Genomic DNA, 16,725 nt, shown 5'->3' on the forward strand with positions numbered 1-16,725 from the left:
AGTGTTTAAATTGAAAAAGTAGGCAGATACGTTTTTCCTGAAAGTAGTATCTCAATTATTTTGCTAGTATAGTTCATCTAAGAAACCACTTCTAAATCTTTATGATCAAACAAGAAGTTTTGAGAACCAGTATCCTTTTTTTTTTAACTTCATTTTTTATCCCATTTCCCACATTTTTATCAGTTAGAACCTTTTCCCCATGGACCCATATTCTGAAACTTTAGGAATTAATTACATTTTCTTTCTTTTTTTTTTTTTTTGTTTTTTGAGACAGTATTGCTCTGTCGCCCAGGCTGGAGTGCAGTGGGGCGATCTCAGCTCACTGCAACCTCTGCCTCCCGGGTTCAAGCAATTCTCCTTTCTCAGCCTCCCGAATAGATGGGATTACAGGCCCATGCCACCACACCCAACTAATTTTTGTATTTTTAGTAGAGAATGGGTATAACCATGTTGGCCAGGTTGGTCTCGAACTCCTGACCTCAAGTGATCCATCCACCTCAGTCTCCCAAAGTGCTGGGATTACAGATGTGAGCCACCGTGCCCAGCTAGGAATTAATTACATTTATTAACAAATCGTTAATAATTAATTATTGGGTCAGAATCATAGAATTCTAGAGGGTTTTTGTTTGTTTGTTTGTTTGTTTTTTGTGACAGTGTCTCACTCTGTCGCCCAGGCTGGAGTGTAGTAGGGCAGTCATGGCTCTCTGCAGCCTAGAACTCCTGGGCTCAAGCGATCCTTCCACCTCCGCTTCCCCAGCCCAGTAGCTGAGACTACAGGTGCAAGCCACCATGCCTGGCTAATTTTTTTTTTTTTTTTTTTTAAGTAGAGACAGGGTTTTGCCTTGTTGCCCAGGCTGGTGCTAAAATGATCCTTTCCCCTTGGCCTCCCGAAGAGCTAGGATTACAGGCATGAACCATCGTGCCCAGCCCAGCATCCTTTAAATATTTAAATCTTCTACTAGCTCTAGAAAGAGTAACTAATCAGGGACAATCTGACAAACAACCGATCACCTGCTAGGGAGAGTGCTTGAAAAACAGAAGAACCACTCAGTCCAACGGGCAGGAGACACTTCTGGAAGGAACACCATGATGGCTGCCCAGGGAGAGCCCCAGGTCTAGTTCAAACTTGTATTGGTTGGTGGCGGTGGTACTGGAAAAACTACTTTGGTGAAACATCATTTGACTGGTGAATTTGAGAGGTATGTAGCCACATTTGAGAGGTATGGGTGTTGAGGTTCATCACCCAAGTGTTCCACACCAACAGAAGATGTATTAAGTTCAATAAATGGGATACAGCCGGCCAGGAGAAATGTGGTGAACAGAGATGGTTATTACATCGAACCCATAGCCCAGTGTGCCATCATAATGTTTGATGTAACACCAAGAGTTACGTACAAGAATGTGCCTAACTGGCATAGAGATTTGGTGCCAATGTGTGAAATCATCACCATGATGTTGTGTGGCAACAAAGTGGATATTAAGGACAGGTAAGTGAAGGCAAAATCTATTGTCTTCCACCGAAAGAAGAATCTTCAGTACTATGACATTACTGCCAAAACTAACTACAACTTTGAAAAGCCCTTTCTCTGGCTTGCTAGGAAGCTCATTGGAGGCCCTAACTTGGGGTTTGCTACCCTGTACTCCCCTACCTGAGGTTGTCATGGACCCAGCTTTGACAGAGCAATAAGAGCATGAGTTAGAGTTTGCTCAGACAGCTGCTCTCCTGGATGAGGATGATTACCTGTGAGAACAAAGCTGGAGCCCAGTATCAGAAGTATAGTTTTATAGACAGCTTTCCTGTGACGTCAGCAGTGCAAAGTGTGCCTCACCTTGTTATCAAGCTAAGCGGAACATGTGCTTCATCTGTGGGATGCTGAAGGAGATGAATGGGCTTCGGAGTGAATGTGGCAGTTTAAAAAATACCTGTGCCAGGCGCAGTGGCTCATGCCTGTAATCCCAACACTTTGGGAGGCCGAGGTGGGCAGATCACGAGGTCAGGAGTTTGAGACCAGCCTGACCAACATGGTGAAATCCCATCTCTATTAATAATACAAAAATTAGCCAGGCGTGGTGTTAGGCGCCTGTAATCCCAGCTACTCAGGATGCTGAGGCAGGAGAATCGCTTGAACCCGGGAGGCAGAAGTTGCAGTGAGCCGAGATTGCACCACTGCGCTCCAGTTTGGGCAACACAGAGAGACTCTGTCTCAATAATAATAACAATAATAATAATAATAATAATAATAATAATACCTTCATGGCCAGGCGCCATGGCTCACACCTGTAATCCCAGCACTTTGGGAGGCTTAGGCGGGTGGATCATTTGAGGTCAGGAGTTCGAGACCAGCTTGGCCAACGTGATGAGACCCCATCTCTACTAAAAATACAAAAATTAGCTGGGAGTGGTGGTGGGCGCCTGTAATACCAGCTACTCAGAAGGCTGAGGTAGGAGAATTGCTTGAACCTGGGAGGCAGAGATTGCAGCAGTGAGCCGAGATCGTACCACTGCACTCCAGACTGGGAGACAGAGTGAGACTCTGTCTCAAAACAAACAAACAAACAAACAAAACCTTTTTTGGGTGACCTGCATATTTAGCTGTTTTGGAACGCAGTTGATTCCTTCTTGAGTTGCAAATATAAGACTGCCACAGTTACATCAGAAGGAAGGAAGGAAGGAAGGGAGGGAGGGAGGGAGGGAGTGAGGGAGGGAGGGAGGAGGGAAGGAAGGGAAAGAAAAGGAAAGAAGGGAGGGAGGGACGGAGGGGGGAAGGAAGGGAAAGAAAAGGAAGGAAGGAAGGAGAGAAGGAAGGAAGGAAGGAAAGAAGGAAGGGAAAGAAAAGAAAGGAAGGAAGGAAGGAAAACCCCAGTGAAGTATTAGATTGGCTTTGGCATTCATTGAACACAAAATGAAATGCTTTGCTTATGTTCTCATTTAAGCCTCATAATCTCCCTTAAAACACCTATTAATTATTCCTATTTGAGTGATTAAAGAAAATAACTTGCCCAAGGTCACACAGCTAGTATGTAGCAGAGACATTCTGACTCTTAAAACTTTCTTTTTCTATTCTACCACATTAGTATGATTTCTTATCTTTGAGAGGGAGTCTCACCTAGGCTGAAGTGCAGTGGTGCAATCTCACCTCACTTCGAGCTCTCCCTCCCTGGTTCAAGCGATTGTCCTGCCTCAGCCTCCCAAGTAGCTAGGATTACAGGCGTGCACCACCACACCCAGCTAATTTTTTGTATTTTTAGTAGAGACGGGGTCTTACTGTGTTGGCCAGGCTGGTCTCAAACTCCTGACCTCAAGTGATCTGCCAGCCTCACCCTCCAAAGTGCTGGGATTAGAGGCATCAGCCGCCGTGCCCTGCCTCATTCTACATTATATTAACTGAAAATTTTATTTTAGTATTTATTTATTTATTTAAGAGACAGAGTCTCACTTTCTCACCCAGGCTAAAGTGTCACCTAGGCTGGAGTATAGTGGCATGATTATAGCTCACCACAGTCTCAAACTCCTGGGCTCAAACTATCCTCTAGCCTCAGCTTCTTGAGTAGCTGGGATTACAGGCATGAGCCACCTTGCCTGGCTAATTGTTCTAAGAAATTTTGAGCCAGATGGCCGGGCACGGTGGCTCATGCCTGTAATCCCAGCACTTTGGGAGGCCGAGGCGGGTGGATCACAAGGTCAGGAGATTGAGACCATCCTGGCTAACGTGGTGAAACCCCGTCTCTACTAAAAATACAAAAAGTTAGCTGGGCATGGTGGCAGGTGCCTGTAGTCCCAATTACTCGAGAGGCTGAGGCAGGAGAATGGCGTGAACCTGGGAGGCGGCGGAGCCTGCAGTGAGCTGAGATGGCGCCACTGCACACCAGCCTGGGCGACAGGGCGAGACTCCATCTCAAAAAAAAAAGAAATTTTGGGCCAGACACAGTGGCTCATGCCCGTAATCCCAGCACTTTGGGAGGCCAAGGTGGGAGGATCCCTTGAGCCCAGGAGTTCGAGACCAGCCTGGGCAACATAGTGGGACCCCATCTCAACTAAAAATAAAAATAAAAAAAATAGCCTGCCATGGTAACACGTTATCCCAACTACTGGAGAGACTGAGGCAGGAGGATCGCTTGAGTCTGGAAGGTCAAGGATTGCAGTGACCCATGATTGTGTCACTGCACTCCCTCTCAAAGTGCTGGGATTATAGGCTTAAGCCACCATGCTCAGCCAGAAATTTTAGCTTGAATAAAATGGACCCTATTCTGACAAGGTAGAGAAGATAAGAGGTCTTATTAGTGTTTATATTCTCCATAACCTATAGCATAGTGCTATTTGCATATGCATTTTCAATGAATAGGACTCAACATTGTTAGAAGCAAATATACCACCATTATATTTCTGGAAAAAAGAAGGTGGAAGGAGAGAAAGAAAGAGGCACCGAAACACAAGACATCTGGTACATCTTATCACTTGCATACTTATAAACGCATTGACTGTATATTTGTTTCTTAATGTAACATCAAAGTTTACACTACAACCTTAATAGCTGGTAGCCTAAGGTATCACCTTTCCTTCTATACTCAGCCACACTGGTTAAGATTAGATCTTCCTGTCTTTCACTCTAGTTGCTGCAATAGCAGTCAATTGTTCAAAGAGGACAAGGCTTGCTTAGATGAAGGACTGTCCTCAGATTCCAAGGTACTGCCTCAATCATTCACCAAATATTAACTGAATGCCAGTTCTGGGTCAGGAACTAGGTTAGGCATCATTTGGAAATGCAGGTTCTTACATGACAGAATGATTCATGGTGCCTTGTGACTTAAACGCCTATAGGCTAAGGTGGACCTCTTTTAATGTGATTCTTAAATGTTATCTCTAAAAAGGAGAATAGGAGTTTTTGGTTTTCCCCAAATAGGAGAAAGGAGTCTGAGTACAAGCCCAAGCTAGGAAACTTTGCCTCAAGGAATTCAGGGGAAGTTTGTGGAGCTAAGAGAACGTGTTTTAGAAGCTCCACTCCCATTACTAGAACACGCACATACATACACACATCAAAAAGCTTTGTGCTTCAGAGCCAGTAGCACCTAACCAAGATATGGAATTAACCTAAGTGAGGCTTTAGGAGAACAAAGCACCACCACTGCTGCTTCTCCTTTAAACAGATTCAAGGGCCAGGCACCGCGGCTCACGCCTGTAATCCCAACACTTTGGGAAGCTGAGAGGGGCGGATCACCTGAGGTCAGGAGTTTGAGACCAGCCTGGCCAATATGGAGAAACCCTGTCTCTACTGAAAAATGCAAAAATTAGCAGGGCGTGGTGGCGCACGTTTGAACCCAAGAGGCAGAGGTTGGAGTGAGCTGAGATCGCGCCACTGCACTCCAATCTGGGCAACAGAGGTAGAATTACCTGGGTCTTCCAGGGCTCCTATCTAGACCTCTAAACAAAAACTTGGTTGTACATAAAAGAGATATGCTGTTATTTATATTAAGTAAATATCTGATATATTCTTGAAAATAAAAATAAAATAAATTATTTTGGAAAACATCCACTTTAATCAAGTCAGTGAAATATGTAAATTTTTTTTTTTTTTTTGAGACAGAGTCTCGCTCTGTCGCCCCAGCTGGAGTGCAGTGGCACAATCTCAGCTCACTGCAAGCTCTGCCTCCCGGGTTCACGCCATTCTCCTGCCTCAGCCACCCGAGTAGCTGGGACTACAGGCGCCCACCACCACACCCAGCTAATTTTTTGTGTTTTTTTTTTTTAGTAGAGACAGGGTTTCACCGTGTTAGCCAGGATGGTCTTGATTTCCTGACCTCGTGATCCACCTGCCTCGGCCTCCCAAAGTGCTGGGATTACATGCGTGAGCCACCGTGCCTGGCCATATGTCAAAATTTTTAAAAGGGGAAACTAAATGTTAGGAAATGTTAGTAATACCTAAAGCACATTAAGCATCATAATTTCAGATAAGTGTTTTAGGATAAGGTTAGAAAGTTTCCGGTAATAAACTTGTGACCATTTAGTAGAACTTCCTATAAAGATGGAAGAAATGTCATAATCACCAAAACAAGTCTTGATTGGTGTCTTATAAGTTCATATGCCTCCAAAATACTTACAAAAACCCTATTTCAGAAAAAATAAGTATAGTATTAGCATTTCTTTTAGAGCTTGGTCAGTAACTATACAGGCTCTTTCCAATAAAATTTCAGTTATTTATCTAAAATGGCCATGCAAATACAAATTGAAAAATGATTTTTGCTTTAGCAATTGTTCTGATCCTAAAAGAATGTACCCAATGATATCAAGGCAGTCTACCAGGTTCTCTGTGTAAGCAGAAATAATCATAATATTAGGTATAACCATAATAAAGTATTATACATGGAAGTCTCAGTGCTACAAATAACATGAGATTTTGTACAAAAGTTCAAATAGGAACTTCTATCAATCTACTGGTAACACATAAGAAATTTGCTCCTTACTTTATTTCATTGTATTTAGTTATTTGAGACTGGACCTTGCTTTGTTGCCCAGGCTGGAGTGCAGTGGTGTAATCTCAGCTCACTGCAACCTCCACCTCCGAGGCTCAAGCAATCCTCCCACCTCAGCCTCCTCAGTAGCTGGGTCTACAGGCGCCCGTCACCACACACAGCTAATTTTTGTAGAGACAGGGTTTTGCCATGTTGCCCAGGCTGGTCTCAAACTCCTTGGCTCAAGTGATCTGCCTGCCTAGGTCTCCCAAAGTGTTGGGATTATAGGCATGAGCCACCTCACCCAGCCCTATTTCTAACTTTAGAATTCCACTTATCAGAATCACACCTGTAATCCCAGCACTTTGAAAGGCTGAGGTGGGCAATCACTTGAGGTCAGGAGTTCCAGACCAGCCTGGCCAACACTGTGAAATCTTGTCTCTACAAAAATTAGTTGGGCTCCCTCCCCCTCCCACTCTTCCTTTCCCTCTTTGCACGGTCTCCCCTCTGATGCCGAGCAGAGGCTGGACTGTACTGCCGCCATCTCGGCTCACTGCAGCCTCCCTGCCTGATTGTCCTGCCTCAGCCTGAAGAGTGCCTGGGATTGCAAGCGCGCGCAGCCACGCCTGACTGGTTTTTGCATTTTTTGGTGGAGACGGGGTTTCGCCGTGTTGGCCGGGCTGGTCTCCAGCTCCTGACATGGAGTGATCTGCCCGCCTCGGCCTCCCGAGGTGCCGGGATTGCAGACGGAGTCTCGCTCACTCAGTGCTCAATGTTGCCCAGGCTGGAGTGCAGTGGCGTGATCTGGGCTGGCTACAACCTCCACCTCCCAGCCGCCTGCCTTGGTCTCCCAAAGTGCCGAGATTGCAGCCTCTGCCCCGCCGCCACCCCGTCTGGGAAGTGAGGAGCGTCTGACTGGCCGCCCATCCTCTGGGATGTGAGGAGCCCCTCTGCCCGGCCGCCCAGTCTGGGAAGTGAGGAGCGCCTCTTCCCGGCCGCCATCCCGTCTAGGAAGTGAGGAGCGTCTCTGCCCGGCCGCCCATCATCTGAGATGTGGGGAGCGCCTCTGCCCCGCCGCCCCATCTGGGATGTGAGGAGCGCCTCTGCCCGGCCGCGACCCCGTCTGGGAACTGAGGAGCCTCTCGGCCCGACCGCCACCCCGTCCGGGAGGTGAGGAGCGTCTCTGCCCGGCCGCCCCGTCTGAGAAGTGAGGAGCCCCTCCGCCCGGCAGTCACCCCGTCTGGGAAGTGAGGAGCCCCTTCGCCCAGCAGCCGCCCCATCTGGGAAGTGAGGAGCGTCTCCGCCCGGCAGCTGCCCCGTCCAGGAGGTGGGGGGCAGCCCCCACCCGGCCAGCCGCCCCGTCCAGGAGGGAGGTCGTGGGCAACCCCCGCCCGGCCAGCCGCCCCGTCCGGGAGGGTGGTGGGGGACGCCTCTGCCCGGCTGCCCCGTCTGGGAAGTGAGGAGCCCCTCTGCCCGGCCGCCACCCCGTCTGGGAGGTGTACCCAACAGCTCATTGAGAACGGGCCATGATGACGATGGCGGTTTTGTCGAATAGAAAAGGGGGAAATGTGGGGAAAAGAAAGAGAGAGCAGATTGTTACTGTGTCTGTGTAGAAAGAAGTAGACATGGGAGACTCCATTTTGTTCTGTACTAAGAAAAATTCTTCTGCTTTGGGATCCTGTTAATCTATAACCTTACCCCCAACCCCGTGCTCTCTGAAACATGTGCTGTGTCCCCTCAGGGTTAAATGGATTAAGGGCGGTGCAAGATGTGCTTTGTTAAACAGATGCTTGAAGGCAGCATGCTCCTTAAGAGTCATCACCACTCCCTAATCTCAAGTACCCAGGGACACAAAACACTGAGGAAGGCCGCAGGGTCCTCTGCCTAGGAAAACCAGAGACCCTTGTTCACATGTTTATCTGCTGACCTTCCCTCCACTATTGTCCTATGACCCTGCCAAATCCCCCTCTCTGAGAAACACCCAAGAATGATCAATAAATACTAAAAAAAAAAAAATTAGTTGGGCATGATGTCGTGCCCCTGTAGTCCCAGCTACAGGAGGCTGAGGCAGGAGGATCATTTGAACCTGGGAGGTGGAGGTTGCAGCAAGCCGAGGTTGCACCACTGCACTCCAGCCTGGGTGACAGAGCAAGACTCTGTCTTGGAAAAAAAAAAAATGCCAGGCGTGGTGGTTCACGCCCAAAGTAATTCCAACACTTTGGGAGGCCGAGGCGGGTGGATCATGAGGTCAGGAATTCGAGACCAGCCTGGCCAACATAGTGAAATTCTGTCTCTACTAAAAATACAAAAATTAAGCCAGGCGCGGTAGCTCATGCCTGTAATTCCAGTACTTTGGGAGGCCGAAGCAGGCAGATCACGAGGTCAGGAGTTTGAGACCAGCCTGGCCAACATGGTGAAACCCCATCTCTACTAAAAATACAGAAATTAGCTGGGTAGGAGAATCGCTGGAAACCGGAAGGTGGAGGTTGCAGTGAGCCAAGATTGCATCACTGTACTCCAACCTGGGAAACAAGAGCAAAACTCCGTCTCAAAAATAAAATACAAATAAAATACAAAAATAAAAATACAAAAATTAGCCAGGTGTGGTGGCACAAGCCTGTAGTCCCAGCTACTCGGGAGGCTGAGGCAGGAGAATCGCTTGAACCCAGGAGGCAGAGCTTGCAGTGAGCCGAGACCATGCCATTGCACTCCAGCCTGGGTGACAGAGTGAGACTCCGTCTCAAAAAAAAAAAAAAAAAGAATTCCACTTACTCCACTTATCTGGATACCACATAACAAAATGATACCTATGCTGTCTCAGATACAATAGGTGTTTAATAAATACTCAATATATGAAAACGTTTTCCTTGAACCAATCCCATAATTTTTGTGTTTCTTTTTGTTTTTGTTTTTGTTTTTTTTTTTTTTTTTTTTTTTTTTTTTTTTTTTTTTTTTGAGACGGAGTCTCGCTGTCGCCCAGGCTGGAGTGCAGTGGCGCAATCTCGGCTCACTGCAGGCTCCGCCCCCTGGGGTTCACGCCATTCTCCTGCCTCAGCCTCCCGAGTAGCTGGGACTACAGGCGCCCGCCACCTCGCCCGGCTAATTTTTTGTATTTTTAGTAGAGACGGGGTTTCACCGTGTTAGCCAGGATGGTCTCGATCTCCTGACCTCGTGATCCGCCCGCCTCGGCCTCCCAAAGTGCTGGGATTACAGGCGTGAGCCACCGCGCCCGGCCTTGTTTTTGTTTTTTTTTGAGACGGAGTTTCACTCTTGTTACCCAGGCTAGAGTGCAATGGCGCGATCTCAGCTCACCACAACCTCCGCCTCCTGGGTTCAAGCAATTCTTCTGCCTCAGCCTCCCGAGTACCTGGGATTACAGGTGTGTGCCACCATGCCTGGCTAATTTTGTATTTTTAGTAGAGACGGGGTTTCTGCATATTGGACAGGCTAGTCTCAAACTCCTGACCTCAGGTGATCTGCCCGCCTCGGCCTCCCAAAGTGCTGGGATTACAGGTGTGAGCTACTGCGCCTGGCCTTTTTCTTTTTTTTTAAGAGACAGGGTTTCAGTATATTGCCCAGGCTGATCTTGAATTCCTGGCCTCAAATGAATCTCCCACCTTGGCTTCCAGAGGTGCTAGATTTACAGGACTGGGCAGATTTTTTCATTTTTTTTATTTTTGAGATAGGGTCTCCTTTTGTTGCCCAGGCTGGAGTGCAGTGGTGCAATCATAGCTGACTGTAACCTCGAACTCCTGGACTCAAGTGATCCTCCCATCTAGGACCACTCCTCCCAAGTACCTAGGACTCCAAGGGCGTGCCACTGCACCTCGCTAATTTTATTTCTTATTTTTGTAGAGATAGGGCCCAGACTGCCCTATCGCATAATTTAATGGTGTGAATAACTCATGTAGTCATTTACAAGGGCCCAGGAAAAGCAGCAGCCTTCAACAACACATTTAACACTTTGTTCCCTGATCATCCACACTTCCAGTATCTATTTGTGGCAAGAAGGAAAACATGGGGACTGTAAGAAAATCAGACCTAGAGAAATGGGTGTGTTCTGTGATGTAGGCAGGGCTTTAAAAAGTTTTTGGTTTTAGGCTGGGTGCGGTGCCTCAAACTTGTAATCCCAGCACTTTGGGAGGATGAGGCGGGTGGATGGCTTAAGTCCAAGAGTTCAAGATGAGCCTGGGCAACATGGCAGGACCTCATCTCTTTAAGAAAAAAAAAAATTAGGCAGGGCACAATGGCTCACGCCTGTAATCCCAGCACTTTGGGAGGCCAGCGCGGGCGGATCACGAGGTCAGGGGTTCGAGACCAGCCTAACCAACATGGTGAAAACCCGTCTCTACTAAAAATACAAAAATTAGCCGGGTGTGGTGGCGGGCACCTGTAATTCCAGCTACTCAGGAGGCCGAGGCAGGAGAATCGCTTGAATCTGGGAGGCAGAAGTTGTAGTGAGCCAAGATCGCCCCACTGCACTCCAGCCTGGGCAGCAGAGTGAGACTCCATCTCAAAAATAAATAAATAAATAAATAAAAATAAAAATAATTAAATGGGCGTGTGTGTAAAAAAATAAAACAATGTAATAATAATAGAAATAAAGTGCACAATAAATGTAATGCGCTTGAATCATCACGAAACCATCCCCCCATCACCCTCACCCCAGTCCGTAGAAAAACTGTCTTCCACAAAACTGGTCCCTGGTACAAAAAAGGTTGGGGACCACTGCTCTAGACGATGCATTCATGTAACTCCTCTCACTGTCATTCACCCTCATAATTTTGTTTTCATTTCCTACATGTGTATGTCTAGAGAAGGAAGAATGTGCTGATCATATAGGTGCAAGTTTTACTTACATCTATAAACTGGTATCCGTTTTCATACATTGGTCTTATAAGTTTGGATTCTATGAGCGCACCCACAGAGATGAATGTGCTATTTGCTGATGAAATCAGTTTCTAAGCCTGCAATGCTGCAAATCAAACTCTGGCTCTGGACTATAGTATACTCATTCAAGTAATGCAACCTCCCAAAGTCTCTTGGAAAATGGCCAGATGACTCTCCAGGCAGCACCTTTCTCCACTGATGACAGGCCAAGTGAGCTCTTTCCTCCACTTTAAAATTTCTACACTTACACTATTACAGTTTTTACTCAAGAACACCATTTCCGGCCGGGCATGGTGGCTCACGCCTGTAATCCCAGCACTTTGGGAGGCTGAGGCAGGTGGATCACCTGAGGTCAGGAGTTTGAGACCAGCCTGGCCAACATGGCGAAACCCCTGTCTCTACTAAAAAAGTACAAAAATTAGTTGGGTATGGTGGCACCTGCCTGTGATCCCTGCTACTCAGGAGGCTGAGGCAGGAGAATTGTTTGAACCTGGGAGGTAGAGGTTGTGGTGAGCCAAGATCACGCCACTGCACTCCAGCCTGGGCAACAGAGTGAGACTCGGTCTCAAAAAAAAAGAGAGAGTGCTTCAATAAAATTGGAGGCTGGGCACCGTGGCTCATGCCTATAATCCCAGAACTTTGGGAATCTGAGGCAGAAGAATGGCTTGAGGACAGGAGTTCAAGGCCAGCCTGGGCAACATAGTGAGACTCCATCTCTACAAAATTAAGAAAAAAATTAGCCAGGTGCAGTGTAGTCTTAACTACTTGGGAGGCTGAGGCATGAGGATGACGAACCCAAGAGTTCAAGGCTGCAGTGAGCTATGATCCTGCCACTGCACTCCCGCCTGAGTGACAGAGCAAGACCCTGTCTCTAACAACAACAACAAAAAGCCACAAAGCTTGGAGGGAATTACTATAGATTAAAAGAAATTTAGACATACCAAACAAATGCAATGGGTGACACCTTGTTTAGATCCTACTTCAAAGACAATGTGGGAAGCAGAATAATAACCCCTCACAGATGTCTACTTCCTTTAGCTAGGCATAGTGGTGTGTTGCCTATAGCCCTAGCTACTCTGTAGGCTGAGGCAGGAGGATTGCTTGACAGGAGTTGGAGGCTGCAGTGAGCTATGATCACTCCAGCCTGGGTCACAAAGCGAGACCCCATCTCAAAAAAAAAAAAAAAAAAAGTCCACATCCTAATTCCCAGGACCTGAGAATATGTTACTTGACATGGTAAAAAGAGATTTTGCTTCCATGATTAACTTAAGAACCTTGAAATGGGGAGAGTATTCTGGGTTATCCAGGTGGGTCCAATATCACAGAGAATCCTTACCAGCTGGAGTCACAGGCCAGGGAGATGCAACATTGCTAGCTAGCTTTGAAGAAGGGTAACATGAGCCAAGAAATGTAGCCTTTACAAGTTGTAAAAGGCAAGCAAACAGGTGTCTCCTAGAACATCCAGAAAGGAACACAACTGTGTCAGCACCTTGATTTTAGCACAGTAAGGCTAGGGTCAAACTTTTTTTTTTTTTTTTTGAGGTGGAGTCTCACTCTGTTGCCCAGGCTGGAGTGCAGTGGCGCAATCTCGGCTCACTGCAAGCTCTGCCTCCTGGGTTCGCACCATTCTCCTGCCTCAGCCTCCCGAGTAGCTGGGACTACATGTGCCCACCACCATGCCAGGCTAATTTTTTTGTATTTTTTAGTACAGACGGGGTTTCACTGTGTTAGCCAGGATGGTCTCGATCTCCTGACCTCGTGATCCGAGCTAGGGTCAAACTTCTTACCTAGAGAACTAGTTAAATAATAAATGTGTGTTAAGTCACTAAATGAGCTGTAATTTGTTACAGTAACAATTGAGATTAATACACACACTCAAAAAAGATATGTTGAGACAAATCAGCAAGATTTAAACCAGGATTTGGCATCAGGCACTGTGGCTCACGCCTGCAATCATTCCAGTACTTTGGCAGGACTAAGGCAGGAGGATTGCTTTAACCCAGGAGTTCAAGACCAGCCTGGGCAACATAGTGAGACCTGTCTCTCTACAAAAAAATTTTAAAAATTACCCAGTTGTGGTGCTGCACACCTGTAGTCCTAGCCACTTGGGAGGTTAAGGTGGGAGGACTGCTTGAACCCAGGAGGCAAAGGCTGTAGTAAGCCATGATCATGCCACTGCACTCTAGCCTGGGCAACAGAGCAAGACCCTATTTCAAAAAAATAAAAAAATTAACAGGAATTGGGTATTAGATGGAATATTGAGGAATTAGTGTTAATTTTTGATAGGATATGGTAATAATATGTGGGCTTTTTAAACTTTGTTAGAAATATGTGCTGAAGCTCAGGCACATTGGCTCATACCTGTAATCCCAACACTTTGGGAGGCTGAGGCAGGTGGATCACTTGAGGTCAGGAATTCAAGACGAGCCTAGCCAACATGGTGAAACCCCATCTCTACTAAAAATACAAAAATTCGCTGGGCATGGTAGCAGATGCCTGTAATCCCAGCTACTCGGGAGGCTGAGGCAGGAAAATCGCATGAACCCAGGAGGTGGAGGTTGCAGTGAGCCAAGATCGTGCCACTGCACTCCAGCCTGGGTGACAGAGTGAGACTATGTCACAAAAAAAAAAAAAAAAAAAGATATGTACTGAAGCATTTATAGATGAAATGATACAAGGATGTCTGGGATTTGCTTTTGTTTTTATTTTTTATTTTTTTGAGATGGAGTCTCACTCTTGTTGCCCAGGCTGGAGTGCAATGGCACGATCTTGGCTCACTGCAACCTCTACCACCCGAGTTCAAGGGATTCTTTTGCCTGACTCTCGAATAGTTGGGATTACAGGCTCCCGCGACTATGCCCATCTAATTTTTGTATTTTTATTAGAGACAGGGTTTCACTGTGTTGGCCAGGCTGGTCTTGAACTCCTGACCTCAGGTGATCCATTCGCCTTGGCCTCCCAAAGTTTTGGGAATATAGGCATGAGCCATCGCACCCAGCCAGATTTGCTTTAAAATAATACTGCCCCCCTACCTTAAAAAAGGTAAGGGTTCTAAAACCAAGGTCCAAAATTAAAAATAAGAAAATTATTTAAAGGTAGGGGGATAGGACAAATTGGCAAAAAGTTGGTTACTTGTTGAAGCTGGGGGCTAGTTACACTATTATTGTGTATACTTGAGATTTTCCATAGGAAGTTTAAAAAAAAGTGAATTAATTTAGGAGAGAGCACCTATATATACTCCAGATCAGCACTGTCCAAAAGAATTTTCTGTGATGATGGCAGTGTTCCATATCAGCACTGTCCAATGCTGTACCCACTTACCATAAGGGTTTTGAGCACTTGAAATATAGCAAACGCAACTAAGGAAGTGAATTTTTCATTTTATTATCATTTTTTAAATATTTTATTTTTTGAGACAGAGTCTCACTCTGTTGCCCAGTCTGGAGTGCAGTGGTACGATCTCGGATCACTGCAGCCTCTGCCTCCTGGGTTCAAGCAATTCTCCTGCCTCAGCCACCCGAGTAGCTGGGATTACAGGCACGTACCACCACACCCGGCTAATTTTTGTATTTTTGGTAGAGATGGTGTTTCATCATGTTGGCCAGGCTGGTCTTGAACTTCTGACCTCAAGTGATCTGCCTGTCTTGGCCTCCTAAAAAGCTGGGATTACAGGCGTGAGCTACCGCACCCAGCTGAATTTTTCATTTTAAAATGTAAACAGCCATATGTGGCTAGTGGCTACCATTTACACAGTGCAGCTCTAAATACTGGAAGACAGCCATGCCACCTTACTACCAGAATTTGAAGTTAATAAGTAAGCTCAGGCATCAAGTCAGCCCGCCGAGCCTCTTTCCCCTTTTTGCTAATAGCAGTATCTAGTATCCCAATCCCATTCCAAGCTCTTTTTTACCAGAAGTGGGGCAAGAGATCCGGGCTATAGTACAACTTCTTCCTGGCCATAGTGACTGGTCCAGGAAGAAAATAAGCAGAGCTCGGATCCTCATAATCCTTGCTTGGAATTTTCTCTATTACGAAGTAAAGCAGCTTCTTCAATTTGGAGTTGTAAGGAGGGAACCCCAGAACTGCTGGCCATCATGTTCATTTGCCACTCTTAGAATAAAACCAAAATTAGGATAAAAGACAGAGAGACAGTCTTGCTTCTCAAGTACTTAGATCCAGTCAACCCTAAATTCAGCTCCATCCCCTTTCCCATGTGTCGGTTAGGTAAGCCAATAAATTCCTTGTTTATGCTATTAATAGTATTGAGTTAAGTTATATCACTTGCAACCTAAAATAGTCAACGCAAAGCCCCACTCAGTCTGGGCAACACAGTGAAATAGGTTCTCTAGCCAGGCATGCCTGTAGTCCCAGCTACTCGGGAGGCTGAGGTGGGAGGATTATTTGAGCACAGGAGGTCGAGGCAGTGAGCAGTGATTGTGCCACTGCACTCCAGCCTGGGTGACAGAGTGAGCAGTTTACTGAAGCCTTGACCTCTCAGGCTCAAGTGATTCTCCCACCTCACCTCCTGAGTAGCTAGGACCACAAGCGGAAACCACTGTGCCTGGCTCTTTTTTTTTTTTTACAGAGATGGGGCTTGCCTAGGCTGGTCTCCAACTCCTGGGCTCAAGCAATCCTCTCGCCTCAGCCTCCCAAGCAGCTGGGACTACAGGCATGCCACCACGCCCGGCTAATTTTTTTGTATTTTTAGTAGAGACAGGGTTTCACCATGTTGGCCAGGCTGGTCTGGAACTCCTGACCTCAAGTGATCCACCTGCCTTGGCCTCCCAAAGTGCTGGGATTACAAGTGTGAGGCACTGTGCCTGGCCTTGATTTTTAGTTGAGATGGGGTCTCTCTATGTTGCCCAGACTGGTCTCCAACTCCTGGGCTCAAGAGATCCTCCTGCCTAGGCCTCCCAAAGTGCTGGGATTATAGGCATGGGCCATGGTGCCCAGTCCTGCTTTTTTTTTTTTTTTTTTTTTTTGATACGGGGTCTCGCTCTGTCCCCCAGGCTGAAGTGCAGTGGCGTGATCTTGGCTCACTGCAAGCTCCGCCTCCCGGGTTCACGCCATTCTCCTGCCTCAGCCTCCCGAGTAGCTGGGACTACAGGCGCCCGCCACCACACCCGGCTAAGTTTTTTTGTATTTTTTAGTAGAGATGGGGTTTCACCGTGTTAGCCAGGATGGTCTCGATCTCCTGACCTCATGATCCACCTGCCTCGGCCTCCCAAAGTGCTGGGATTACAGGCTTGAGCCACCGCGCCCGGCCCAGTCCTGCTTTTTTAAATGAAAAGATTCACCCAGATACTCACTGAAATAAAAAAAATTTTCAGCTAGACTAAGCAGCAAGAATTATCATATTACCAGTAATGGGCATAATATTCTGGGAGG

The 16,725-nt window shown here is 46.7% G+C and overlaps 1 pseudogene, besides 1 other annotated feature; it reads left to right on the forward strand.

Annotated features, from left to right (window-relative positions):
- Window positions 390-669: a silencer, noted in NCBI's record as "fragment chr1:109588748-109589027 (GRCh37/hg19 assembly coordinates)". NCBI's record gives its function as "represses an EF-1alpha promoter that drives an FKBP-Casp9 reporter gene in an ReSE screen in phorbol 12-myristate 13-acetate-treated (for megakaryocytic differentiation) K562 erythroleukemia cells {active_cell/tissue: K562(+PMA)}" and the evidence as "EXISTENCE:reporter gene assay evidence [ECO:0000049][PMID:32094911]".
- Window positions 1,047-1,925, forward strand: RANP5 (RAN pseudogene 5; annotated as a pseudogene).

Source organism: Homo sapiens, chromosome 1, assembly GCF_000001405.40.
Source record: "Homo sapiens chromosome 1, GRCh38.p14 Primary Assembly".
Taxonomy (NCBI): Eukaryota; Metazoa; Chordata; class Mammalia; order Primates; family Hominidae; genus Homo; species Homo sapiens.